The sequence below is a fragment of the Homo sapiens genome, chromosome 9 (genome assembly GCF_000001405.40).
Source record: "Homo sapiens chromosome 9, GRCh38.p14 Primary Assembly".
NCBI classification, from domain to species: Eukaryota; Metazoa; Chordata; class Mammalia; order Primates; family Hominidae; genus Homo; species Homo sapiens.
In genome coordinates, this window is record NC_000009.12 from 86660180 (window position 1) to 86686004 (window position 25825).

The 25825-nt window shown below is 41.8% G+C and overlaps 1 long non-coding RNA gene across 1 annotated transcript in view; it reads right to left on the reverse strand.

The window, feature by feature from the left end:
- Positions 1 to 9092: 9092 nt before the first annotated feature.
- LINC02834 (long intergenic non-protein coding RNA 2834) overlaps positions 9093 to 25825 on the reverse strand; it is a 39034-nt gene continuing 22301 nt past the window's right edge. Inside the window, exon 3 of the long non-coding RNA XR_930070.3 lies at positions 9093 to 10251. This is a non-coding gene — a long non-coding RNA (long intergenic non-protein coding RNA 2834). The remainder of the gene's footprint in view (positions 10252 to 25825) is intronic.

Sequence of the window (25825 nt, forward strand, 5' to 3'; positions counted from 1 at the left end):
AATGTTTGCTCCCTAAACTAGACTCTAAAATCCATCATAGCAAAGACTGAATCAGTTTATCACTGTGTCCCTAAATAACTATGAATGAATGAGTGAATATATGTAGATATGTATCACTGAGCATTCCTTGAGTGTTTCAGTGGGTGTGGAGCAGCTGTCTCTGTCAAAAGGCACAGGATGTGGTGGGGTGTGGGGTGAGAAGGTTTGTGGTGTGATCCACGATCCACAGCCAGCAGATTTCCTGACTCAGAGCTCAGAAGAGAGAAACCTGCACACTTGAAATGTAACAGGAGAAATGCTTATAAGTACACTACTGTGAAGTCAAATACAATAGCATATTTCAGTGACATGAAAAATAATAAATATGCATTATATAGATTCTCCTTGATTTACGATGGAGCTACGTCCTGATAAGCCCATCACAGGTTGAAGATATCATTAAGTAGAAAATACATGTAATACACCTAACCTACCAAGCATCATAGCTTAGCTCAGCCTCCCTTAAACATCCTCAGAACACTTACCTTAGCCTACAGTTGGGCAAATTATCTGGCAACACGGCACACTCTAGGGTGTGGGTTGCTTACCCTCGTGATCACAGGGCTGGCTGGGAGCTGCAGCTCGCTGTCACTGCCCAGCATCCCAAGAGTATTGTACTGTTTATCAACATCCTGGGGAAAGATGAAAACTCAAAATTTGAAGTTTGATTTCTACTGAATGCATTTTGCTTTCGTACCATTGTAAAGTAGACAAATCATAAGTCAAGCCATCATAAGTTGAGGACCATCTAAAAAACAACGCAGCTGCCTGTCTTGTTTCAGCTTTGGTCCATGTAGAATACATGTACATTTGTCTTCATTTATAAAGATGCCAATGCTAATTTAGCCAGTTGTCCCAATGCACAGCATAAGAGGTAGTTACTTTTTTTTTTTTTTTTTTTTTTTGAGATAGAGGCTTGCTCTGTTGCCCAGGCTGGAGTACAGTGGTGCAATCATGGCTCACTGCAAACTGCCTCCCAGGTTCAAGCGATTCTTGTGCCTTAGCCTCCCGAGTAGCTGGGACTATAGGCATGCGCCACTATGCCTGGCTAATTCTTGTATTTTTAGCTGAGACAAAGTTTCTCTATGTTGGCCAGGCTGAGGTGATTACTTTTAAAACATTGTAAATGGCTTCTAAAGCAATTGTTGATAGTTATTCATCATGCAGTACTCATACACATTTATATATAAATATAAATAATTGCTTTTCAGTCCAACATTGCTATTAGTTTTTATTCAATTTCAAATTCTGGTTTTGTGACTCGTTTGTAGCATCAGCTATCTTAGCGTCATGGGTGGGCTGACTGGCCCTTTAACATCATCTGCAGCTTTTTTCAAGCCATACTGGGTGCAAAATTGACAGGTAAGTAATTGAGAAATATGGATTATACTGCAAATAATTTTAATTTTAAATTTCTCGATGGTGGAATTTGGATAAGTGTTTGTGTAATTCTTACTGTATCTTTAGAGATAGAAAAGATATATGTGGATTGATTTCTTCCTTCATGGGAAAACAGTTAAGAAGACAAGGCTAACAGAGGTAGAATGCTTTTCTATCATTTTGTATAATTCAATATCATACACCATATTATGTGATAAAGAACTGTAGATGCTATAGAAATATACAGAAAAAAGAGATGATTCAGCTGAATTAATCAGAGAAGGCTCACATGGGCCTCAGAGCTTGAGTTGGATATGGTACCCCGAAGATAAAGGGGAGGGAAACCAGACAGGTGAGCCTGTGCACATGAAATGTGGGAAGGAGTACACACAGCACATGTCCATTAAGATTAGAGGCTGTGTGGCTGTGAGTCCTCAGAAATACGGTAGGGTGGGGAGGATGGGTACAAATACCAAGAGACTAGAAAACGACTGTTGTATAGCTTTGAAAAGACTCCATACACTTCCATAGTTTGCTATGTGAGTGACATGTGTTTTGCTGTGCTAAGAACTTGCCCTGCCCCTTGGGAATGTGATGGTTCCACTTTATCAGACTCCATATGTGAGTTACTGATCTCAACCACTGGACTCCATCATACATATAAACCTAAGAGTTTGACAGAGACTTTGGGAGCTTAGGTTGTGGCAGGGTGCACTCCGTCAGCCGCCTCTTTAAAATCTGAGAGCTCAGGCTACGGCAGGGCCACACCCTATTGGCTTTGGAGCTGATCTCTGGAGCCTCACCAGCCTACACTAGCACCTCTCAAGCACTAAGCATTCTTGCATGTCATTATAGATCTTCACTGTGTTGTTCACTGTGTTGATTGAGCCTTCTCTTCCAAGAACCTCTTGTATAAAGCTACACCTCAAACTTTAATTAGACTTACATTCCACCGAGGCTTGCATCTATCGTCATTGAGCAACCAGACTTTAATAATTGGACTCTAACAAAATTGAAGCTACGTGGTTACTGTACCACATTAATAGTACACAATAATGTACACTGCACACTATATATACAGTACAGTATGCAACGTATACCATGTACAAAATAATGGTACACAATAAAGTCTATTGAGTATATTTTCAATGAGATTTGTCCTTGTTACTCTCCTCTTAAGCTTTATGAATGAAAGCAAAACTTTGTCTTTGTATGGCAAACCATGTGATTTGTGAAATCATTCTCTGATCATCCCTTTATTTTAACTGTGCAAAAAAAAATCACCCCAAGAGGGTTGTCAGAGGCAATGGAGAGCTTTGAGAGAAAGTGTATCCATTGAGAAGCTTTGAGATACAAGTAATAGAAACTTTGACTCAACTGGCTTTAAGAAAAAGAAAACATATCGTTACTTCACACAGAAGTCTGAATGTGGGGCTGGGGCTGGCTCTTTTCCCTCCATCATTCTCTGCTGGTTGGCTTGTTCTGAGGCTGGCTGTCCTCCCTGTCACAAGATGGCTGCTATGATTCCAGAAATCACATCCAAACACAACAAAGTCCAGATGACAAAGATAGGGCACTCCACCCTGGGTGGCTTTTAAAACAAAAATGAAAAATATAAAGCTTTAATCAAAGAAGCAAACCTTTCACCAACTCCCCCAGTAGACTTTTCTTCCTATTCATCGCCCAGAGTTACACCACATGTGTATGCCTAAAACAGTTACTGGAAGGGGAATGGGGTCCTATGGGAGTACAGCTGGAACCACCTCCCTTGAAACCCAAGGTCAGACAGAAGAAAGTGGGTCCCTGAATACATTTGTATTCTCTTAGGAGAAAGGAAGGGGAATTGACTATTGGCAAGGTAGCTCAGGTTTTATATGGCTCGCTGCTCATGTATTTTAGGGTCCTCTTTAAGAAAAGGCATACAAACTTATAAATGCAAAATTAGGAATGAAAAAAGAATATTTTCATAGACTGAGAAAGGAAACCGTAACAAATTACAAAATAAAAAAATGGTAAAATGTCATAAAAAATCTAAAGATGTAAAATGACTTTTCAAATAATTGCCTGGGGTATTCCTATGACTTTTTTCCTGCTTTTTATTTGAGGCAGGGGCTATATAGTCTTTAAAAGTCTCTTCACATGACAGTGATTTTGCATATCATCTTCTATATCATGATAGAAATATAATTCAGTTTTTCCTTGACATGGTAAATCAAATAAAAAAAATTGATGGTTTAAGAAAGTTCCTTTCAGCCTGATGCCTTCCTGGGGGTAAGGTGAGGTAAAGATTTAGGGTTGTTGCTAACGTTGCACAAACCTCCATCCAGCTTCTTTCATACATGAGTTTGTAAGAGCTCTCAGATTTCAAGCTGTCTTATGTGTTGACTAATCTCAAATACTCTTTTCAATCATTACACTCATCAAACATTTGATCGTCAATGTCCTCACTGTAATGTGTATTATGAGGTTTGGGCTAAACTTGTTGACATTGGTATTTTGTGCCAAATCAGCAAGAAATTAAAATTGTTTCCGTTGTGTCCACATGATTCAAATTATTAATCAAATTATCAAATAATCCAAGAGCCTATTTATCACTTTTATTCAAAATCTGTCTTTTCTTCCTAATGTATTACTGTTTTGTATTTATTTATTTGTTATTATGTAGAGTTGATTTAAATGTAGGAATACATGTGAGTTTTCAGGGGTTTTTTTAGGAGATACAGTTTAATTTTATTTATTTTAAATTTTTATTTATTTTTGACCCATAATTGTCCATATTTATAGGGTATATAGTGATGTTTCAATACATACACTGCATAGTGATCAGAGCAGGGTAATTAGCATATCCATCATCTCAAACATTTATAATTTCTTTGCATTACTGCTTTTTATTCCCCAAAATGTTCTGAGTATAATCAAAACAGTTTCTAAACCTCACTATTTGCTTTCAACCAATGCGGGCACCTTTAAGTAAACCACACAAACATGTTCCACTGAACCCGAACTGAATGTATCACCAACTCCACTTCCCTTTATGAGCATATCATAAAAGACCTGCAGACACCCCACCGCCATTCAACATGAGGGAAACGGGTGAAAAATGACAGGGGTCACAACCACGGTGGTTAAAATATCTTACACAAACATGTAACCTTGTCAGTGAAATGCTCGCCTCTTCCTGGGCCTTGGAAAGGAGCCCAGGCAAGTGAGTGCGCTTGGAACTCCAACCTCAGGAGCTTCATCCTGATCGCCCTCTGGCAAGGGTGTCTGGAATCAGGGATGGCAGGAACCAAGCCATGTCTGCGATCCAGGAAGACCTGGACAGGGGAGAGGCAGCAGGCCTGGAATGGATGTGGGAGGTAGGAGACCCAGGAGGCAAGCATCTCAACACCTGGGGAGTGAGTGGATGTGGCAGATGAGAGAGTGACTCAATCAATGACAAGTCTCACTGTTCCAGGTTGGATCGGCAGGAAGATGGGGCATTACCGATGGGAGCAAAGAGGTTGGAAGGGTGGGATTTTTTATATCCCATTACAAGACAGAGCATGGCTTAACTAAGTGCGTCAGGAGAGCGTTAGACCTGAAGCTGGCTGAGCCCTCAAAGGATTTCGGAAGGTGATTTGGTGCTAGGAGAAGTGCCTTATTCAGGGCTATTCCTTAGTGCATGGGAAAGCTGGAAAGAAACCCAGTTTTTCTGACGCTCTGTTCTTTTCTTTACCCCAGGCTGCCTCCCAAATACAACCTTTACCCCACACTAAGCATCCCAAACTTGAGGAAGTTCTTAATTCTTGCTTAAGGAGAGCCTTCCTGGGCGGTTGCTCCAGCAAGTCTTGGTGGGTGGTTCCTGTTATTGATGATTTTATCAGTTGTAGGAAATCTGTGCTGGGTGCTAAGAACATCCATAAAACAGGGGAGGCATGGGGGGAATCCTATTGTATTAAGTCCTTTTCTCTCACTTCAGTTCTCCCCCACCCTAAGGCCTCCCACAGACATCTGGGATCCAGTGCCAAAATATGCATTCTAGAGCCTTCAAGCAAAACTAGGTCTTCTGCCAGCAAGAACGCTGAATCAAAGCTTTCTGTATCCCACTCCCTCTAAAAACCCTTTATCAAACTTTCACCACACAAAAATGGAAGCATTTCAGTCTCTGAAGCAGTTCAATGTGACTGTGGCTACTGCATCTTGAAGGGGATATTCATTCATTCAACAAATGCATTTTAAATTCTGCAATGTGATCAACACCATGCTAGACACGAGAGATACAGCAGTGAGCATGTGTAGTCACGGTCCCTGCCATCTGGGAGACTCTTCTCAAATAAATCACAAACAAATGTAAAATTGCAACAGTGACCCAAAGGAGAGGGACATACATGGCTGATGTGTATTCTGCCGTCCTTCACTTTCCTTCCCTCTGTACACACAATGCTGTTCTGCCCCTCAAGAGGTGAAGTCTTTTCCCTCCCTTGAATCAGGACTGGCCTTGGGAATTGCTTTGAGCAGCGTACTGGAGGGACACTGAGACTTCTGAGCCAAAGCCTTAAGAGAACGGGCAGATCTATTTCTACCCTCTTAGAAGCCATTGGCCATATGAAAAGCCCAACTATCCAGAGACCACCGTGGTGTGAAGAAACCAAGCTGGTCTGAGGGACAGGCTCTATGGAGGCAGCAATGCCCAGCCATGTCTCCACTCTTCAGCCACCCCAGCTGAGACACCAGGCACGTGATTGGAGAAGCCATCTTGGACATTCCTGCCCCAGTAAACACACGGGGAGCAGGAAGATCACCCCGCTGAAGCCAGTCCAGACTGAAAAATTGTGAGAAAGAATCAATTGTTTAAAGCTACGGAGTTTTGGGGAGGGGTGTTATACAGCTGTAGAGCTGTTGCCATGGGCTCCCAGAGCGCCCAATCCCCTGTGTCCTGGACCCTTCAAGCCCTGTCTCCAGTACCCCTGGGACTGCTCCCCCTACCTGTGTGTTAGTACTAAGTGGTTAATTCCTGGTCCAGAAGGAAGCCTCCATGATCTTGTCCCAGCATCCATTCTAATGGGGCCTAGGTTCTGGTTGGTCAATATCTGCACAGTACCAGTCAAGGTTTTGAGTAGCAACCTTGGCTGCAGGGTGCTCTCAGGTCTTATAGTGATGGCGTTTTACCTCTTCAAAGAGTCCAGGAAAGGAGTCTGTGAGGAAGTGGCACTGAGCTGAGATCTGAAGTGTGTAAAGGTGTGAATTTGGTGGTGAAGGAGAGGGAGGCATGACTTCAGAGGGGGCATGTAGGAGGGCTTTGTGGTAGGACAGAAGACGGTGGAAAGAGGAACTGTCTGGACCTTATAATGCAGGGCACGGTGGATTAGACTAGACAGCACCCTTCCCTAGGCTGGCCAAAGACCTAGGAGAGTCTGACTAAGACTGATGCATGCTGGAAGGTGACTGACCAGCCCAATCAGGTCCTGTCTTTCAAAGAGTTCAAATCAAGATGCACCAAGAGAGCCAGTTGGTCAAGAGCAGAAGTGCAGCTGAGCCACCATAATGAAGGCTGGGGCTGGGGCACAGGACACCTATCCTCAGTTGAGGACTGACCTCCATTGTTGCTGCAAAGCAGAGGTCGCAACCCGCAGGGTGGTTGGTTGGGGTGGCCAATGTGTCCCTTTTTTGGTCCATCCACATAGGGTTGCCAGAACAATATTTTATTATTAAATTAGTTGCCAGCATTGAAATATCAAAGGTTTTCAAATATGAAGATCTCAAACGTGGGAAATTTTGGAATATTTCTGCCACATCCCTGATTGCAGCAATAGCTAGAGGTGAGTAGGAACTACTCACTTTAGATGGAGCGTGTGTAGTGCACACCAGTGTATTACATGTCCACTGCTCCCCGGGGGGACCCCCACAATTGAGATGAGTGTGAGTCATCATGCGTCATCCCACACAGGCCCTGCTGCACACATTCACACTGCCTACCCAGCTCCTGCAGGCATTGGACAGTGTAATTTCTTTTGTTGGGACACTGAGGCTGCTGTTGTAAACCAAAGACCTTAATGTCCTCCTGGTTGTCTGTGTGGTGGGGTTGCTAGATTTAGCAAACACAAAATGCTGAAGCAGAACAACCACCACCCAAGAACAAAATAAAATGGAATGTCCAGGTAAATTTATATTTCAGACAAACAACGAATGATTTTTCAATATAAGTATGTCTTCAGTACTGACATTTTCTCTAGCCTCTTTGTGAAGCAAAGCAGCATTGGTGCTGAGATGGTGTCCTGACCTTGTATTTCTGGTACACAGAACCAGGTACATTCCCTACCCATGGCTGCCCATTCTATGCCTCCATTGACTGAGGTCACCTCGAGAGAGGCTCTGCTTCTTGCACCTGATGCTCCACAATAGCCCAGGTGTTGGATGAGTAGCCTGTCGGAATAGATTGGCTCAGAGGAATGATGAGAGCCAAAGTTGGAAGGTCATTTGGGGACAGACTGCAGAGGGCCCTTATGCCAGAATCAAGATTGAAGGCGACACCATGGCAGTGGCATTTCAAGAAGATGCAGCTGACATTGTTTTGAGAAACAGGAAGACAGCATTCCTGGGGGTGAGGAGCTCCCAAGAAAGTTGTGGGGATACTGAGGTTGGCAGTAATGAGGGTCTCCATTGGAAGGTGGAGGCTGGAATGGAGAGGAGTTGACATAGGCAACCAGTGTTGTAGGAAGAATCAAGAGGTTTGGTGACAGCTTGAATGAGTTGGTGACACTTCTATGGTTATCGAATGGGGGCAGCAGCACTGCCCTGAGCTATATTTCCCAGGAAGCTGGGAGGGGAGCTGCCCTGAAGAGAAAAGGAACAATGCCTTTTTAGATGTGTTGACCTGGAGGTGCAGTCAAATAGAAAAATCCAGTAAGAGGTTGAAAATTCTGGTAAGTTACAAAAGGAGTTAGGATTTACTGTGTGCTTGCTATGTATTTCCTGTTCTAAGAACTTTATATATATTAATTTGTGAAATCATTACTAAAACTTTCTGAGAGATATACTATTTTTATTCCCACTGTATAGATTAGGAAAGTGAGTAACAGTGTGGTAACTGGCCTGAAGTCACACAGCTACAGCTGGTAATGTTCCACCCTAGCTGTCTTGTAATGACTGTGCCTCACTTCCTCACAATTTAAACCCAAGGATTCACTCCTCCACTTTCCTTTTAGCTGATCAAATCAATCTACAGCTAAGAAGAAAAAGTTTTGTCAGTATCATGTTAGTTAAAATTTTATAATAAAACATGGACAATAAAGCCCAACATCCAAAATCAAATTAGATTTATATATAAAAAGAATCAAAATGGGTATATGGCCATGTGGGACATTTATTTTGTGGCTTCTAACTAGGATGCTTTAATTTTACATCGCCATCTCTGTATTTGGTAAGGCCATAGGTGGAGATCAGTAGTGAAATGAACCAACAATAATAATATTATGCCTTTGAATAACTTTTTAAATATGATTAAAATTATTAGCCATAATATATTAATTAATGAATTCTAGCCTTAATTTAATGCTATATATCTAATTATAATTAAATTCTACTTTAATATATCATATTCAGTTATAAAATGCGAATCCATGGCAATTTTCCTATATAGTTGGCTGAAAGCAAGCAGCTTGCAAGTAATACAGTTTATCTTTAAGAAATCTTTATTTTTTTCTGTGTAAAATGCTAATGCATTTTCATAAATCAATTTACTTGTCATACATTCTTGCTGGGCTGAAAATTGTTATTTTGTATTTTTGGAGAGAATTGTTGGATCTAAGTTCTTGGATTAATAGCTGCCATTGCTCCCTTGTTTTGGAAACATTTTGAAAGAGACCGTTGCATTCCTGAAGTCGGAATGTGGTTAATTCAGCTTTCATACACACAAGTTCTATTGGAAGGGAGAAACTTGAGGGAGGGGAAATTGCATCCCTGGAGATGTAAAGGGCTCATCACCAGTAGAGGAGATTTAGGGCACAGGTGCACAAGACAACTGTTGCCTCTTCCCGCTGAGCCAGCAACAGTGCTTCCAACTTCACAAGCAGCAGGGAGAAATCTGGGGAAGAAAAACGTCTTCACTCTTGTGCATGTTTTGGCCTGTTGCTGACTCTGCTACAGGTCATTTGGGGTGTGAGAGCAGCCTGGCTCTTTTTAACACCCTGTTTTTTTCCTGGTAATGGAGCAATAAAGAAACTTGGAAAAAGTGATAGCCTGGAGAGTGAAATTCAGGAACACCCATGGAGCCATGGGGAGTTCCCAGATCTCCCCAACAATTCACTGCTGACACTCCTGGTCTGACTCTGAGGAAACTCATTTGTGTTATTATTGATGGCAGGGCTGGGGTACTTTGGGGTGGACTGAAGACAAAGTCTCTCAGTGCTCTGTGAAATGCCAGTGGGCTCAGGGTCCTGGGTTGTTGAACCATTGAAGGGTAATTGACATGTGCATTTCACAGGCAAATTGGCAAAGTTTTTGTGAACTTGTGCAAATCATATAAATAGGCTTGAAGTAGATGAATTATGATCAGTTCCTATAATGGGGCCTAGCCTGAGAGCTGCGAGAATAAGAATCTCATGGAGAAATCCCGACAGGTTGCTAAATAGGGTTGTATATGTGTGTCTATGTGCATGTGTGTTTAAGAACCCTGCTCCCAAATTGCTATATGACTTCCAGTACTTGTATCCAAATTCCTCTTTCTGTTCTAATGGCATTCCTTCTCAGCTCTCCCCCTGCAGCACATCATCCCTTTCTTCTCATTTCTAAACTTCAATAGTGAATTCAACAGTATTCTTTTTCTCTTCTTGGACGCATGATTTTTTTAACCTAGGAAAGAAGGGAGAAAACTCCTTGGAGATTTATTTGAACACTTGATTAAAACAAATCTTATAATTGAAAATATTAATGGTTCATATTTTTTAGGGGATACAAAATTGACTTGTTTCACACAAGTTCTATTGGCCACTTGGAATAAAGTCAAAACACCTTTTGGATAGGTCATCTAAATGTATTTTTTCTTGTACATAGGTTTAAGTAAAACCAGACTGCTATGTCCTTGTTTCCTTGACATTGCTATGTGATGTTACTTGTCTGAAGGCGAGACACAAAATGAGGTGTGTGTGTGCGGACATATGGAACTAGTTTTCCTCTCAATGACAAACACATGAGTGGATACTATGCTTCCTCCCTGGTTATGCAGCTTCAAGCACGTCGACAATGAGGCTACCCCAAAACTGTGCTATTTGGGGTAGAGTGGAAATTCTCTCACAGACTCCTTCAACTTCTTTTCTGGTGGTAGCTTAAGAAATAAGATGAGAACAGGAAATAAGTCTCTTCAGAAATAAAAGGTCTAAGTCAAACTTTTAATTTGGGAAATCTTCTGCAAACTTGATTACTTGACTTAAACTTACTGATTCACACTCTAGGGGGTTCGGCTGACTGTATATTGTACTCTTAACAGCCATGATTAGTATTTTATTTGCTTTTATTTTTTTCTCTCTGGAGTAAAGGGAGGGTAGGAGGCAGCATAAAACTATTTCCAAGTTATTTAAATGAAAACTATTAAGCAATGGATGATTTATTATATTCATATTCTACATTTTTAAAAAAATCTAGGCCATTTATGTTTATTGTGTTTAGGATACTCTGAGAAAATAGTGGGAGTAAAACATTTCACTTTTCCTTGTCTAACAGTTTTACATGCAAATTTGGTTAAATGATAGAGGATGCATGTAAGGGAAACAAATGAAAAAGTGGTAGTGAAAAGAAAAAAATTGTATATATTCTTAGAAGAAGCTGTTAAACTAGCTTTATAAATATAAACTGTAATCACTAACAGATAAGTAGCAAATATATTTTAAATTTAATAGCACATGCAGAACCATAATAATTACTGTCCAGTTATACTAAGATGTATATATTATGTTATATTCCTTAATGGGGTGGTGTGAAGGACTTTTTGCAGCCCTTCCTAGTAAATGTGTCATGGTTGGGTAAATGATCATTTTAAGGGTCTGTTGTAAGTGGTAGATGCCTCAGAAGCCTTTTGTTGTTTAGTTGTTTTGGGGGCAGTGAATATTTTCACTTTGTGTTTTATACAAAGGCAGGAAGGAAGAGCTGCTGGGGAGGATAGATGGGCACATCCCCTTGTCCTCTGGGGCTTTTGAAAACTGCCTTGTCTTCCTGGCAGGTTATGATAGGCAGAGCCTATTACCTCCTTTATGGAACACCCACTTTCTCCTTTATCCCCAATCCATGCCAGCTCCTATAACTGAAGAGAATGTGTCTTATCAGGTGTTTTGGGACAGGAAAAATGTTTGAGAAAATGATTAGTATTTCTGAGAGAATTTTTATTTCCAAAAATAGGGTGTATTCTATCACCAAATATCACTCTGCCAGTCAAGCAAGATAATGTTATGCATCTATAATCAGTGATGATTTCCAAAAAATTTATATTTTATACTCAACATACTATGCAAGATCTTGCAGAATTCATTTTGCACTGCATGACTGCTTAAAGGCTCACCCAGAGGGCTACTTCAAGCAAGAAACCTTTAAAGTTCTTCTTTTGAACCGTGGTAGGAAGAAGAGGATGTAAACATGATTTCTTTTTTTAAGTCACTGAAATATTTTATTTCAGTTTATTTTAATTTAAATGATTCATCTAAAAGATTGTTTAAGGTGGTATCAAACCCCAGTGATCATGAGAGAACTTACAACTTCTGCCAGCCAAAAGATCTGAAATGTTGCCAAGATGCCCTGGATTCAACCAACTTGAATGATGATCTATCAGCTTTGGGGATTCGGATTCTGAGATTAGAGGCAGCTGTGAGTAGAAAGAAAAATCCACCCCGAACTCCACCCCTCCTTCTTCGTTCTAACATTCCCACAGAAATGAATATGCTTTTAGTTGAGCCGACTCAGACACAGAGGACTCAAGGCTGGAGGATTTATTTGAAAAGGAAACCCAAGAAAAATCCTGACACATCTTGAAAAAGCCTCTATAAATCTAAACCTAACTGCAGTCCGAAGGCCTGCCCACGAGATGCAGGTCGAAGGGAGATGGTCCGGACTTGAAGAGCCTAAATCCACCGATAATTTTTTGTGAATTTGGGTCTGGCTCTCTGACACATATGGCATTCAGGATTCCATAAAGGAGACAGTCCATCTGTGGGGCACAAACAGCTCCTTCTTGGAGGTGGTGGTTCTCGGACAAAACATAGTATCTCCAGAGTGTAGTACACAATAGAGTGTGGGAAGGTACTTTTAAATACTTCCATTTTGGCTTTTCCACTGTCAATTTCTGCCCCATTTATAACACTTATAAAGATGGATAACTTAGATTCTGAAGAAAGGTTATTTTTTCTTCACTTTTCTCCTTCAAATGGGAGATAAAGTAGTTTAGGGGAGGCATGTTAAAGAAGGCTATCAAGACCTGTCCCCCACACTCTCTGTGTCCTATAAACCAGCAGAGCGCTGCATGGAAAAAGTCTTCTGTCTTCTATGTAGCTGGAATAAAAGGAAAGGGAAGGAAAACACCCCAACTGCCAATCCCACTGCAGTCATGAAACTTGAGAAGTCTCTGTTGTCTGTTCTCAGGAAATGGTGTGGGTTCTTTTTGGAGTGGTTATGTTCAGGAAACCCAGAGCTGAGATGGAGAGGACTTCAGGAAGTTTATGCAGTGTATCCTTCACTTGCGCAGGAGGATAATGTATAAGAACAAACTGGACTACATGTAGGCATGCATGAAAATAAGTATTCCTGAACATACTGAAGTTGGACTAGTATAATTAGTGATTGCTAAGTGCCCTTGGGCCAAGAAGGAGTGATAAGTGAATGGAGACCCTTAGGGCTGATCATCCTGGGAAGAAAGTGCTCTTTGGCATGGGATGAAGCAAGAGCTGGGCCATAGCCTGAGTGAGTGGGGCCTCTTATTCTCTCTCTCTCTCTCTCTCCCCGTCTCAGGGACCTCATGGCAAAAGTCTGCACCTCCAGAAAGAAGATAGGAGAGCCGGACTTTGTGACATGGTGACAGGCTATGACACAGGAAGGGGGACTCCTGGGACCCATAGAGGATGAGCCTGTTGGTTGGCGATTAAGCAGGTTTACCTATTAAGCAAGGTCATCCCTAAGGAAGTTCCCATAAGGTACTTCCATGAGTGCTCAGGCTTTTTGGAAAACAAACTCCAACAGATAGTGAGCACCTTAATCGCTCAGTTGAGTGATCAGTTGTGAAAAGGGATTTAATATTTTTGGAAGTAAATGGGCCAGTGTTCCATGCATCTGCTTTCTCACCCCAAACCTCTCTTCTCACTGCTAGTGGTTCTTAGGCTAAAGAGGCTTGATTTCATCATCTTTCATCTTGCTTCTGTTGCTCCCTGTTGCTAAGAGAATAGTTATATTTCTCAGGTCTTCTCTTGCCCCACAGTTGATGATTCTATAGTAGATGATATGGAGAAGGAAAGAAAATAATCAAACAATTGTCCATGCCAAGCCCTTTGCCTATGTTTTTGTATTTGTTCCTTTTGGAAATTATGACACATGAATATTATTATTCCTATTTTACAGATGAGAAAACCAAGGCACAGAAAAGCCAAATCACTTGGCTAAGCACAGCTCACGAATGAGGGGAAGACCCATGTATTGAACCTAGAATCATCTTCCTCCAGAATACCTGCTGGGTTTTTTTTTATGCCATCTCCTTGCGTTTCACTCCTGGGCACTTTTTCAAATTCACTCTGGAGAGATGAGTATACATTTAGGTAGCATGCAGGAGCAGGATAGGTATGCAGATGTGCAGGTGATATACAGGAGCAGGATAAGTGTGTGGATATGCAGGTGGCATGCAGAAGCGGGATAGGTGTGGGGATGTGCAGGTGGCATACAGGAGCAGGAGACAAGCCTGGAAGCATAGTAAATACTAATCTCCTGGCCTTTTCTGACTCTACCTCATGCCCCCTCCTCCCAGCCTCCAACAATCTCCTGCCTCTGAAAGAAGTCACAACAAGGGATTTTTGTCATGAGATCAAACCAGTGATCCATCCAGCTCTGTTTCCTGCCTCTTCAGTTTGGTTGAGTCATGACACTTGAGCAGGAGGCAGAAGGCTCAGCAGCCCCTAAGGCGAGCAAACAATATTGCATATTGTAAATGGGATGAAAACATACCAGCTGACCCCCAGACCCATGTGTGCCCGAAAGCAGGAGATTTAATGAAGCAAATGGCCAGGTGAGGTCACAGACCAAATTCCAGGCATGCTTTGCCCACACTGGCTTCAAGGGTCTCCTTGCATCTCCCTGTCATATTTATAGACACATCTGAATCTCATTTTTAAAATTCCAGCCTCTGAGCTTTGATATATTCCTTTCTAATACTTTTCTGCTGTGACCTGATGAGCAAGAGGGGACATTTGCATCTGCCTTGCAATTAAGCTAAACAAGAGAGGAAAATTTTAAACAATCTTTAAAATTACTTTAATAACACTTATAACACTTGCATATTAGGGTACAGGAAGAAAAGCGGCTTCTATTTTAAAATATTTTCTTATGTCAGATGAAGCTGGTTTATATCCACAACCCTTCCTTTCATGTCATCTCTTAACTTATTTTCCCACCACTTAAGCATGCTGGCTGCTGCCAAAAGTGAGATCTTCTGCCCTACCAGGGCTAATGGTTCATCAGCAAGCAAGGCCAGTCACAAGAGCCATCTCAGTGGCTGGTCGGATAGATTCTGGGTCAGATACAGAAGGAGCAGGAACTCAAAGGACCTGATGTCTTACAAAGCACTCAGCTCTGGCTCTGAGAGTGGCAATCTGGGAACATACTGGAAATGTGGGGAGCCACAGCAGAGGGGAGCTTGCATGGGTATGGAAGCTATAATCAGAGGCCAGCCTCCAAAGCTGCTTGGATTAAAGATCCATGGTGCAGGTCCCTGAGGTGACCAGGCCAGAGGTCGCCCCCTTGCCTCTGCAGTGGATCCTCTGTGCTGTACACTGAGCCATCCAGGGCCAGGCCAGGGCTCCTGCAGGATGCATGCAGGGTCTCCTGCAGGGACCGGAGAACTTGATACTGTTGGTGCAATTGCAGGATTGAGTCTTTTTTTTTTCTTTAACTTTTCCCCTGCTTCTTTTTTTGCCCAACGTGTGAATTTTTGTTTATTCCTTTCACATCCCTTTTGCACTAATTTTTGTCTTTTTCTTTTTCTGTGAGGCTGAATTAAGTCTGGCCTACAGGAGATGTGCAGAGTCAGTTGAAAGAGGAGCAACAGAGCAACATTCCCTTTTCTTCGTGCCTTTTTTTTTTTAATGGCATTTGAACACAAAAGGTGGATCTCAGGATCTTGCCTGGAACTTTTCTCAGATTACCAGGGTTGCAATACAGTGGCTGAACTCTGAGTCATTTTTCGAGCCCTTCCCTGAGAGCCAATACCAGGCATGCAGAGTCTCTTCTGATGGCGTACGGAGTCCAGAATCAGTCCCTGGGGTTTGAGAAGAAGGGCAGATTCGCCTTGGTAGGGGTGGTCAAGGGTTTAGGTTGATTACATTGGCATTTCTCTTTGGAAAGTTGCAAAGCATTGACATTAAAATATCCTCCCTGTTAATTAAGAGTTTTCATATAACAGGGGTAAAGAACTTTAATGAGCATCATGGCACCCTGGTCGCTGAATTAATGGCTAAGCGAGGGGGTCTCGGGCTTCAGGCTTATCTGCCATTAGGCATCTCTGAGCTGGCAGGAGGAGCAAACTGACAAGAATCACTGTGGAAATGATTGAGTTTCTCAAGCAGCCTGTGTTATTTTAATTAGACCAGGATATTGAGAACATGGTGCATTGATAAATTGGAGAAATAATGAAGGTTGTTTCTTCTCCTCTCATCTCTTTCCACCCCCTTCAAATGAAGCAATTATTTCTCTGACCTCAGGAACTGCATTTCAAAGAGGTCTGAAGACAGGCTTAGGCCTGCTGCTCCAGTGAATTCTGTGGTGCCCAATTACTGACCTCAGGAGTCAGCATTCTGAAGATTAGAGTCACGGGGAGTTTGCTTCACAGACTCACTTCTAATAATATACCTTCCATGCAGACACCATTAACCTGCCTTTTCCAGTTAGCCAATAAGGTACATCGAAGGGCAAAATTGTTATCAGCTCTCCAGGGGTCAGGCCCCTGGCTCTAATTAGAAACAGGGGTATCTGCAAGGGAAAGTCATAAAAGCACCTAGTCAGTAAAAGCTGACAGTGAATGAAGGCGAGGTGAGAAGTCATTCAGGCCTGGAACCTGTGGACATAATGCATCTTTGGTGCTGAAAGAATCACAGCTCATTTAGGCTATCCAGCATTTTAAAGCTTAGCTCTTCTTTTCCTTGCCAGTTTTATTCCTATAAACTGGTGAGGACACAGTGAATCCTTCTCCTTGCCCCCAAACCTGGAGACCTTAGTCATTTAGTTGAACTAAACACACATTGACTGAGAGCTACCGTGTGTCAAACACCATGTGGGTGGATAGCTGGCCCTTCTCCATGGGGTTCTCTGAGAGAATTGAACCCTAATGCCCAAGGCATCTATAGTATATCTTAATGTTTTTCCTACCCATCTAGAAAGATGCTAGCTACATGGTATCCGTGGGAGTGAAGCAAGAGAATAGGGTCTGGAGGCAGGGAACCTAAGGCCGATTTGAGCTGACTTCTTAGAACTAAATCAAAAGGAAAACCCCAACTTCCCACACCTAAGTAACAAAAGGACCAGAGGCTACTCCATTTGCAAAGCACCCCCCGCCCCGCCCCGACACACACCCGTTTTCTCTGTGACAGATAGAAAATGGAAAGTATCTCTAATTGATGGAAAATGGAAAGTATCTCTAATTGGTTGTTTTCTGCACCAGACGTTGGCATAGGAATGTAACTTTGTAACTTCACTTCAGCCTCTGACTGGTTGCTTTCCACAACCAACCAGACTGATTGCCGGCCAAGTCTTCATTTGCATAGAAGTTAACTTTATTACTTCATTTTAGCCTCTGATTGGTTGATTTCCACAACCAATCAGATGCTTGCATAGGGTGTAACCTTTGTAACTTCACTTCAGCCTCTGATTGTGGGCCATGACTTCATTTACATAGGGTGCACACCAAGTAACCAATGGGAAACCTCTGGAGGGTATTTAAACACCAGAGAATTCTGTAATCGGGGCCTTGAACCCCTGTGCTCAGGCCCGCTCCCACTCTGTGGAGTATACTTTCATTTTCAATAAATCTCTGCTTTTGTGGCTTCATTCTTTCCTTGCTTTGCTTGTGCATTTTGTCCAATTTTTTGTTCAAAAACGCTGAGAACCTGGACACCTTCAACTGGTAACAACAGGATTGAGAAAATAGTCACCCGTTTTCTATAGGGCTTAATTTCCTTGGGTGGCCCCCATTGACAAAGGCTGGATCATAAACACAATTTCTCCTCTCCCACTTGTCCTATTCCAGCCAAAAAGGAAAGTAATAGCATGAAGTTTTGTGATAAAGTCTGGAGGAGGGGCATGTGCTCCCTCAGCATGGATGAAGCAGCTAGCTTGGTCAGAGAGGCTAAGACAGTTAAGGGAAGTCTTCCTAAGGGAGAAACATTTACGCTCCTGTCTGGTGGAAGAATTAGAGCTAGTCAGAGGAGGGGAAAAGAAATTTCCAGGTGGAGGGAACAGTGTGATAACATGAGTGAAGGCCTTGAAGGAGTCAGAGGGTGGCTATTCCTGAGTGGACATTTTGATGACCAGTGATTCTTCAGCATTGGGCACATAGTCTTTTTAGCATGACACACAGAAGATGTTCTGTAAATGTTGAAGGTTAGGGGGAGAATGGTGATGATGGAGAAAGGGTTGGGAAGGAACAAGTCTGGAAGTGTTAATAAGAACTTTACCAGCCGCCTTAAATAATTAGGGCTTTATGCCAAAGGTGCCAGGAGCTGCTAAAGGACTGTGAAACTGATTATGTAGCTTCTTAGTCAAGTATCTGAAGTATGGGAGGGAGCCAGGTGTGGGGGCTCATGCCTGTAATCCCAACACTTTTGGAGGCCGAGGTGGGAGTATCACTTGAGGCCAGGAGTTTGAGACCAGCCTGGGCAACATAGTGAGACACCGTCTCTACAAAAAAATTAAAAAATTAACCAGGTGTGGTAGCACGTGCCTATAGTCCCAGCTACTAGGGAGGCTGAGGTGGGAGGATTGCTTGAGCCAAGGAGTTTGAGGCTGCAGTGAGCTATGATCATACCATTGTACTCCAGCCTGGGTGACAGAGCAAGACCCTGTCTCAAAACAACAACAACAACAACAACAGCAAACAACAACACAAAACAAAAATAAGTACTGGAGAGTATATAAGTCCAATTCTGCACCGGAGAGTAAGTCTTGCAATTAGCTGATGACAAACAGGCTGGTTGAGAGGCTGGTAACCCATGCAGAGCCCACCTCTGTTGGCCATCCTGAAGTTCTCTTCTCTCACTGGGCTCTCTGTCTCCTTCCCTCTTCTCCTTCTCTCCATCCCTTTTCCTACCCCTCTGCCCTTCTTCAGGACCCTGGCCATACTTGGAGAAGCAGCCTCAGATCCTGAGGTCCAGTGGTTTGGGAGAAAGCCCCAGTTTCTTTGCATTCTGTGATAGAGCATCTCTGAGATAGCTCTCTCATCCTATAGCATAACTTTGATATGCTATTATGCTTGGGAACTTTATTCAACTTTGTATGATTCTACACTTGTCCTTTTTGACATTTATCATCTTTCCAAATGTCCCAAGTAGTTAACGGCAGCAGTTGTTTTAGGGCAATGAGGTCAGTGAGAACTTCTCTCAAAGTCATTAATAATATAATTAGGTTAGTTTTATTTTAAATATTCATTTTATAATGAAAGCATTGTAGTTACAAGTTATTATTATTTTTTTCATGTGGAGCTTTGCTTTCTCTCCAATGCTCTGGAATCTGGGCTTTTATAACTTTCATACCTCATTTCTTCTATCAGTTAGATTCCAACACACTCCAAGACTTAGAGAATGGTTTCCAAACTGGGGCCCCTGGTGGGCCCCAGTTTGATGCGTGTAGAAGGGTGTGGGGGGGACAATGGGGGAAGGCAGGTTCCAGGCTCTCACATCCCTGCTTCATCCCCAGCGTTGACCTCAGGGTTAGATTCCACTGGAATCACGGACTCCACCAATGACCAAATGTTGAAAAGAGAGTAGCTCAAGGTTGACAGCATAGAAGTAAGTGAGGAGCCATTAACTGTCAGTACCACGAAGAGTGTGTTGTCTTCAACCGTAGACCTAGAGGAAAAGCATCTAAGAGTCTGGGAGCCTTGGAGTCACTCACTGCTGCTACATTTTAAGGACCTGCAATAATTCCCCACCATTCGTTTGGGAATCCTCAAGACAAACCACTATGAGATTTAAGAGATGAACTGAATGGAGGAAACCAGCCAGCATTTATTGGCATCTCCTAAGTATCAGGCCCTGTGCTGAAAGCTTTATGTATGTTATTCCATTTACTTTCCTTAGAAACTGTAGGAGAAAGGTTTGGAAAAGAAGAGAAACATTGCTGATTCTAAGTCCATGTAGCTCCTGATGGAGCACTCACAAGCCAGAAAGAATGTGACCTTACATTCCATAACTTGCAGTTACTATTGATTGGAAAGATCAAGTTAGAAGCAAGGTCTCCAGATGCTCCAACTTGCCATTGGCCGGATTATTAACCATAGAGGTTATAAAACAAGGCTGTGGAAATTTTAGAATTGAGGTTTTCAAACTTTAGTCTGTAAATATCACCTGGGAACTTAATAAAAATAAAAATTTTCAGTCTCCACCTGTGGAGATACTGATCTGACAGGCCTAGAGAAGGGTCCGAGAAACAACATTTCGTTATGTGGTTGAGAAGTGCTGGTAGACCATGTGAATAGGAAGGCAAAATAACCTTCTATTAAACCTGGAAGCTGGCTTTGCTCATGTTTGTTTGCATTAGATAAGATATGACTGCTAATTGATTTGGAAATCAAAGTTGTTGCATTGATTTGCGTTTGGTTATTGTCCTGCAAAGCATTGGTAAGCAAGTGTGGCTAGAATTCTTCAAGATGGTGCAATATCTTCAGCATCTATATTAGCATAATAGAAATGTTCTTACCTCCCTTTTTCTATTTTTCTTATAAGCTACAATGTCTGATGGCAAGTAATTGAGCATTCCCTTATAGCTGATTATTTTGTGAAGTGTATCTGTCCATACCACTAATTCAACCTTGCAAATACATTCCATTTCCAAAGTCAGTAAGCCTGAAGACCATCTGGGGAGATCCTTTCTTCACCATGGGCAGGAGCCCTTGCACCCCTGTGCCTTTGTTTGTTTCTTTGGCATAGGATGCCCTCTTCACCTTGTCAAATCTTATTGATCCTCAAAGGCTTATTGAAAATGTCATGTTCTTCTAAAGCATTTCCTGATTTGCCTCTTCTACTTCCTTTTTATTGTGTAGTCAAATAGGGATTTTCATTATCTTTGAGTATGCAAAACTTGTGATTATAATTCTTTAATGTTGCATATGTTTTCTTTTTACATTCAATTTGTATTGTTTTATTAAATTACTAAAAATGCTTATTGTAATACAGTCATTTGTTTCTTAATGGTGTGAATATGTTCTAAGAAATGTGTCAGGCTGGGTGTGGTGGCTCACACCTGTAATCCCAGCACTTTGGGAGGCCGAGGCAGGCGGATCTTGAGGTCGAGAGATTGAGACCATCCTGGCCAACATGGTGAAACCCCATCTCTGCTAAAAATACAAAAATTAGCTGGGCATGATGGTGTTCGCCTGTAATCCCAGCTACTTAGGAGGCTGAGGTAGGAGAATCAGTTGAACCTGGGAGGCGGAGGTTGCAGTGAGCTGAGATTGCGCCACTGCACTCCAGCCTGGTGACAGAGTGAGACTCCGTCTCAAAAAAAAAAAAAAAAAAAAAAAAAAAAAAAGAAATGTGTCATTAGGCAATTTTGTGATTGTGTCAGCATTATAAGTTTACTTACACAAACCTAGATGGTATAGCCTAATACACACCTAGGCTACAAACCCATACAAGCTGTTACTGTATGGAATACTGTGGGCAATTGTAACACAACGTTAAGTATTTGTGTATCTAAACAGAAAAGGTAGTGTGCTGCACATTATGACAGCTATAATGTCACTAGACAATAGGAATTTTTAGCTCCATTGTAATATTATGGGACCATCATCAATATGCAGTCTGTTGTTGACTGAAACATTATTATGTGGCATGAATGTAATTAAGTGCTACAGAAGCACATAGAATAAAAAGCTAAGCCTCTGTCATCTGCATCAGTTCACTCCCCACTACAGACCTTTTAAAAATGTGTTTGCCAGTAAAATAGAAAGCATAAATTTAAAGTTTGATAACAGGGCAGGATAACTATACATAAAAAATGTATTGTACTCAGGTGAGGACACCCCAAATGCCCTGACATGATCACTACCCATTATATATACATGTAAAAATTTTCTCACGTAGCCCACAAATTTGTACTAATAATTAAAATAAAATAAAATGCATTTGCAATCTGCATCTGTCACATAAGCACCCCTTCCTCCCAAACACACACAGACTTACTGTACTTTTTAGAGAAGGTTTCAGCTGTGGCAAAGTCGGCTTCCCGTCAGCTGCTGCAGCACATAGGTGGAATTGCAAAGAATGTTCAGTCTGTCCCTAATTTGGATTTAAACAATATGATGCATTCCATAGAGAAATTAACAAGTGGATATCCTAGTTTATCCATGTTGTCCTGATCTCTTTGAGGACACCGGTGTTACTTCCTGGTTCTTCAGGTTCCCCTTACACGTAGTCTCACAGTCAGAAATGAAAGTGGCCCCTGGATTGGCCCCTTACTCTCATGTTGCTCTTTTCTCTCCTCCTCGGTCTTTCTCTTTTTATCTCTTTTATTTATCTCATCCAGCGGTTGGCAAACCTTTCCTGCAAAGGGCCAGAGAGTAAAGACGTTGGGCTTTGGGCCATGTGGTCTCTGCTGGACCACTCGACTCTGCTGTTGCAGTGCCAGACAGCCATAGACCATGTACAGACAAATGCGGGCGTTTGTGTTCCAGTGAACCTTACTTATGGACACTAAAATGTGAATGTTATATAATTATTACATCACAAAATATTGTTCTTTTTATTTTTTCCAACTATTTAGAAATGTAAAAAAACCCCTGTTAACTTGTTTGCCATACAGAAACAGGCATCTGGCCACTTTGACCCAAGGACCAGAGTTGCCATCCCTTGCCCTCCTCCAAACTCTCATTCCCTATTGTATCCAGTTTTTGATGAAAATGACAATAATTTTCTATTACCCCTACAAAGGATGGTATAGGGGCATGGATCTTCAGATTCTGAAGCTCTAGGAGGGATGGCGAAAGAGGTCCTCAAATTGTTTTGGGCTTTAGGAAAATATCTAGATGGCAACAAACAAAAACAGTATTAGATCTTCATATCTTTTATCTTACAGTGCTAAAAGAGTGTACCCTTGCTGGTCTGGACTTAAAACATCATCGTTTATTGTACATATTTTATTCTACTTCATTAGATTAGCTTTCTGAAAATAAGGACTTTGAAAACTCTGTTGTCTCTGCATCTGAATGCCTGGTACAAATTCAGTGGTCAAACCTCTTGAACAGTTCTTGATATCTCTATTAACCCTATACTTCTTAGCCAATACGCTTTATCTTTCTATCTCTACTCCTTTCTGCTATTCCACATATAAATTAGTAAATAGAAAATGAGGCCGGGTGTGGTGGCTGACACCTGTAATCCCAGCCCTTTGGGAGGCCAAGGTGGGCAGATTGCTTGAGGCCAGGAGTTTGAGACCAGCCTGACTAACATGGTGAAACCCTGTCATTACAAAAATTACCTGGGCATGGGGAGCATGCCTGTAATCCCAGCAACTTGGGAGGCTGAGGCACTAGAATCGCTTGAGCCTGGGAGCTGGAGGTTGCAGTGAGCCAAGATAGCACCACCTGACTCCATCCAGCCTGGGCCACAGAGCGAGACTCTGACTTAAAAAAACAAAACAAAACTGTGAGGATGTATCTTTAAAATTCTTTTATAAACAGAGACTCATGAAAATAAAACAAAAATGGAGTAGAATCAAAGGAAGACATTTACCTCTCCAGTTTCTTTTCTTAAATCGCAAGGTGTGGTTCACAGGGGATGGAGGGTACAAATCTTTTCAGCTGCTATCCTGTAATAAACCTAAATGTGGTGAATTTGGGCTGGCTTTCTAAAAAGTTCAACATTCTCAGCCACTTATATGAAGATGGCAATAAGATTCTGTCTGCATACCGGTTGAGTGTATCTTACCTCTGTCACCAAATCTAGAGTTGCTTCTGACCACCATCTCCACCCCATTCTTGCCTTCTTTGCCTTTCTGGCAAGAAGATGTGGAATTCTTAGTAAAGACTGAGTCTTTCTTTATATTAGTAACATCTGAGTTTTGGTGACCATGGAGAAATGGACATTGGTCAAAATAGCAGAAGGGAGGAGATGGGTAAGAGGGGAACTTCCAGAATGCTGAAATATACCTTTGACTCTGAAATCTGAGCTCACACATCAGGGTCTTCAGTTTACAAATGTTTCCCTGGTCAAAAAAAATAAAATGTCTAACAAGCTTACAAGTATACTCAGTAGCCATATTAAAGTTCTCATAAATCATTTATAGGATTCAAAGTAAACATGCCTGGCTCTTTGTATTTTAGTTCCTTGGCAGAAATCTCCATTCCAGCTGGCCTCAGGTCAGCATGGGTGCTTTTCCCAAACACTCAAGTTCCTTCTTCTAACGTGATCTTCTTTCATTTTTTAGATGAATACCTAACTGTCTGTCCTGTTTACAGCTGCACATGTGGCCTACATGAACAATTTAGAAGTATGCTTTGCCATCACTTGACAGAATGAGACCCTACTGCTCATAAGCCAGAGAATAAACACATGCTGCCTTTATCTAGAAAAAGCCTTTCATGGATATATTTTCAAGGAATCATGGATCCACTTGCAAATATTAGCTTTGATTCTGCTAATGCAGTGTAAGAGCAAGAGTTAGCAAACTGTAGTAATGTCTGCTTTTGTGTGGCTCATGAGTTAAGAATGGTTTTTACATGTTAAACTTACCTTGAAAAATCAACGAATAATATTTAGTGGCATGTAAAAATTTTGTAAAATTCAAACTTCAGTGTCCATAAATTAAGTTTCATTGGATCCCAGTCATGCCCATATGTTTACATATTGTTTATAGCTGTGTTCGCACTGCAGTGGCAGAGTAGAGTCCCCCTGGTAGAGACTTCTGAAAGAGTTTGCTGAACCCTGGTTAAAGGCATGGGCTTTGGGTAGGACTTTCTGGTTTGAATTCTGGCTCTGCCACTTATAGTGTGAAACCTGTAAATTTTCCTTGTCTATAAAATATTTTCTTGTATGCAAAATAGGTGCAGAATATGATTCACTTTATTGTTTTCTTGTGAAAATGAGTTGGTATCAAGTTGGGGCTTCTCCATATTCTGCATTCCCTCCAGATGCCACTGTTCCAGTTGTGGGAATTCTGCTCCTTCCTGATCAAGGACAAGATTTGCAAATAGACTTTGCAAGGATTTAACTGGTATTTGGATTCAGTGAACAACAGTATCAGTCTTTTGGGTTTTGGCTTTCCATCATCTCAACTCTAAGAAGATAAGAAACATTTTCAGCACTCACGGAAAAGCCATGTGTGGTGTTGTTTTCCATGCCACAGGCTGGAAACTCCAAGGTTTCCGCGTGTATTCTGTAACTTTAATTCATCCTGTGCATTCAGAAGTAGCTCTTAGTGCTTACATGGGCTGGTTCCCACCCCTCTCAGATCACAGATAGGAATCCCACTTCTTTTGTGCCTCATCTCAGTATGATAACCACATTTCTTTCATTGTACTCTTTGTCACTATGTTATCAGCTGTGGTTGTTTGCATGTATACAACGTAAATACAGTCTGGTAAAGAATGAAGCAATTGTTGGAAAGATATTGGGTGGCTAACAAAATTGGAAGAAGAAATAATGAGTTGCCCACTCAACTTCAAGGAAGCCTTGAGGGTTTGAGAGCACAGAACTTGTAGACTATCTCAAGATGCTGCTTTTGGGTGACTCACCCACATTACTGCTGTCCCTATGACTTTAGGGACAACAGCCAAGGATCTGAGAGAACAAATCTGATGAGCTACTCATGTGGTCGGGAGGAGGGTCCTGTCATTGAAATCCCTTTAGTATCACATGAGGAGGGATGCCCAGTCGTCCAAAATGAGATACATTAACTTCACTCTATCTTTTATATTTTTGGTTCTGGTGGGTGCAGGAGAGGGAGAAGGGGGATACTATTTAAGTTTTCTTTAAACCTT